The sequence below is a fragment of the Homo sapiens genome, chromosome X (genome assembly GCF_000001405.40).
Source record: "Homo sapiens chromosome X, GRCh38.p14 Primary Assembly".
Lineage (NCBI taxonomy): Eukaryota > Metazoa > Chordata > Mammalia > Primates > Hominidae > Homo > Homo sapiens.
In genome coordinates, this window is record NC_000023.11 from 82,846,470 (window position 1) to 82,849,245 (window position 2,776).

The following is a 2,776-nucleotide window of genomic DNA, read 5'->3' on the forward strand; positions in this document are numbered from 1 at the left end:
TATCCCTTTTAGAATAAGAGTCTTTACCCAATGCTTATACTCCCATTGTATCCTGGAAGTAACTATCTTGCTTTTGATTTTATAGGCTCATAGTTGAAAGGGACTAGCCTTGTCTCAGCTGAGACTTTGGAATTTGGACTTTTAAGTTAATGCTCAAATGAGTTAAGACTTTGGTGGACTGTTTGGAAAGCATGATTATATTTTGCAAAGTGAGAAGGATATGAGATTTGGGAGGGGTAAGTGGTGGTAAGACACACTTTGGATTTGTGTCCCTACCCAAATCTCATATTCAATTGTAGTCACCAATGTTGGAGGTGGGGCCTACTGGGAGGTGACTAGATCATGCGGGTGGTCCTTCATGAATGGTTAGCAGCATCTCATTGATGCTGTACTCATGATAGTGAGTGAGTTATTGTGAGATATAGTTGTTTAAAATTGTGTAACACCACTCCCTCCCACTTCCTCCTGCTCTGGCCATGTGAAGTAACTTGCTCCCCCTTTGCCTTCTGCCATGATAGGAAGTTTCCTGTGGCCTTCCCCAGAAGCAGAAGACACAATGCTTCCTATACAGCAGAAAGAACCATGAGCCAATCAAATCTCTATTTTTTTTTTAATAAATTACCCGGTCTCAGGGATTTCTTTATAGTAGAGTGAGAATGGACTAATACACTGAGAGGTGCCAGGCCATGTGTTTTGTCTCAATGCAATCTATTTCAGTGATCACACCTCTTTCCACAATAATGTGGCTGGCAATTCTTTATGCTGGGGTTTGAGGAAAGTTTGCTGTCATTTTTACCTGACAAATGAGTAGTGAGAGGACCCATTCATTGAAAATAAATATTCATTCATTTTATAAATTTTCATAGGACTAGTAGACACTTTGAATGGGAAGAGATTTTAGCTAGAAAATGCTGCTATCTCAGAAGTGTAAATTCTCATCCAAATTTAGTCTAATGATTTTTATTATAGAATTGGAGTTTTTTTTGTGTTTTACTTATTACATTTTAGTACAATCTTGAATAAATACTTCAATGTTCCCAAAACTTGGTAAGTCTACCACTGTTGGTAAGACAGATGATTTTTAGAAGATACCTGAGCAACGTTTTGTTTGTTAAACAATTAAGCATTTAATGTGTATTAGAAAAAAAAAGGCTGGGTACAGTGATTTGTGTTGGTAATCCCAGAACTTTGGGAGGCTGAGGCAGGAGGATCACTTGTGCTCAGGAGTTACATACCAATATGGGATAAATAGAAAGACCTCATCTCCACAGAAAGAAAAAGTCAGCCAGATGTTGTGGTGTGCACCTATAGTCCCAGCTACTTGTGAGGCTGTTGTGAGAGGATTGCTTGGGTTCAGGAAATCAAGGCTGCTTTGAGTCATGATTATACCACTGCAACTGAGCCTGGATGACAGAGTGAGATCCCATCTCAAAAAAAAAAAAAAAAAAAAAGCAAAAGTATCACTCACACCTCAAATGTGTTTTCATGGTTATTGTTACTTATTATTACATAAATGCATTAATAAAATATTTAAAAGTTTGGTCAAGTTAAAGAAAATATAAAGTTAAAAATAATGGATTTTTATTAAAATGATTTTCAACATTATTAACAGGGTCTTATATTTTTGTATAATTTTGTCTATATGAATAGATTTACTATCAGTACAAGCACCAAAATAATACTAAATCTACTTGATCACAGGAATAAATAAAATGTCTAAATTGGAGTTACTTTTGAAATAGTTAATGGCGGGTACTCTTGAGCCCTGCTACACAAACTGTGGTCAGTGACCAGTAGTATGCCATTATCTGGAAACTTATTAGAGACTCAGAATTGCAGGCCCCATTCCAGACCTATTGAATCACACGTTGAATTTTAACATGACACCGGGTGATTTTATGCACATTAATCTTTAAGAAGCACTTCTCTAGAGTGGAAGTTCTCAAAGTTTGGACCAGGTACACTGGGTATTCCTGGTACTTCTACGTACTCTGCAAGGTCAAACCTAATTTCATAGTAATATTAAGATAATTGTTTTTTTCATTGTGGTGACATTTGCAGATGACCTCAAGACAAACCTAGGCAGTGACATTAAATTGTCCTAGTAGTCATATTTTCCACCTCTAAACAGTCTCAGAAAAATTAAAAGGCAGATTCATTTAAGAATATTCTTGATGAACAACAAAAAATGTCAATTTTCTTCCACCCCAATTTTTAAAAATATGTATTTAGTATCCTATGTAATGAAACGGCAAGTACACACAAAGCATTGCTACTGCCTAAGGAAGTACCACGCCCAACTCAAGGAAGAGGACTTGTGAAACTCAACTGAAAGTGGAGATAGCCACCTTTTTGTTTTGAATATCATTTCTGCTCGATATAACAACTAAAAAATTATTCAGCTATGGATACTTTCAGACTTTTTTCTTTAAAATTAAATAGTGATTGTGATTTGAAGAAAAACAACTTGACTGTACAGTTGGTCCCTGACTTACAGGTTTATAGCTGAAAGAAACATACTTTCAGTTTCAGATGAGACTTTGGATTTTGGACTTTTCAGTTGATGTTAAAACAAGACTTTTGGGGACTATTGAAAATGGATGATTGTATTTTGCTATATGAGAAGATCATGATATTTGGGGACCCAGGGATGGAATGCTATAGTTAGTGTGTTTGTCCCCTGCAAACATCATGTTGAAATTAGACACCTGATGTTAAAGATGGGATTTATTGGGGGGAGGTTGGGTCAAGGGAACGGATCCCTCATGAATAAATA

General features: G+C 36.2%; 1 annotated feature.

Annotated features, from left to right (window-relative positions):
* Positions 1,257-1,507: a silencer, noted in NCBI's record as "fragment chrX:82102734-82102984 (GRCh37/hg19 assembly coordinates)". NCBI's record gives its function as "represses an EF-1alpha promoter that drives an FKBP-Casp9 reporter gene in an ReSE screen in HepG2 liver carcinoma cells {active_cell/tissue: HepG2}" and the evidence as "EXISTENCE:reporter gene assay evidence [ECO:0000049][PMID:32094911]".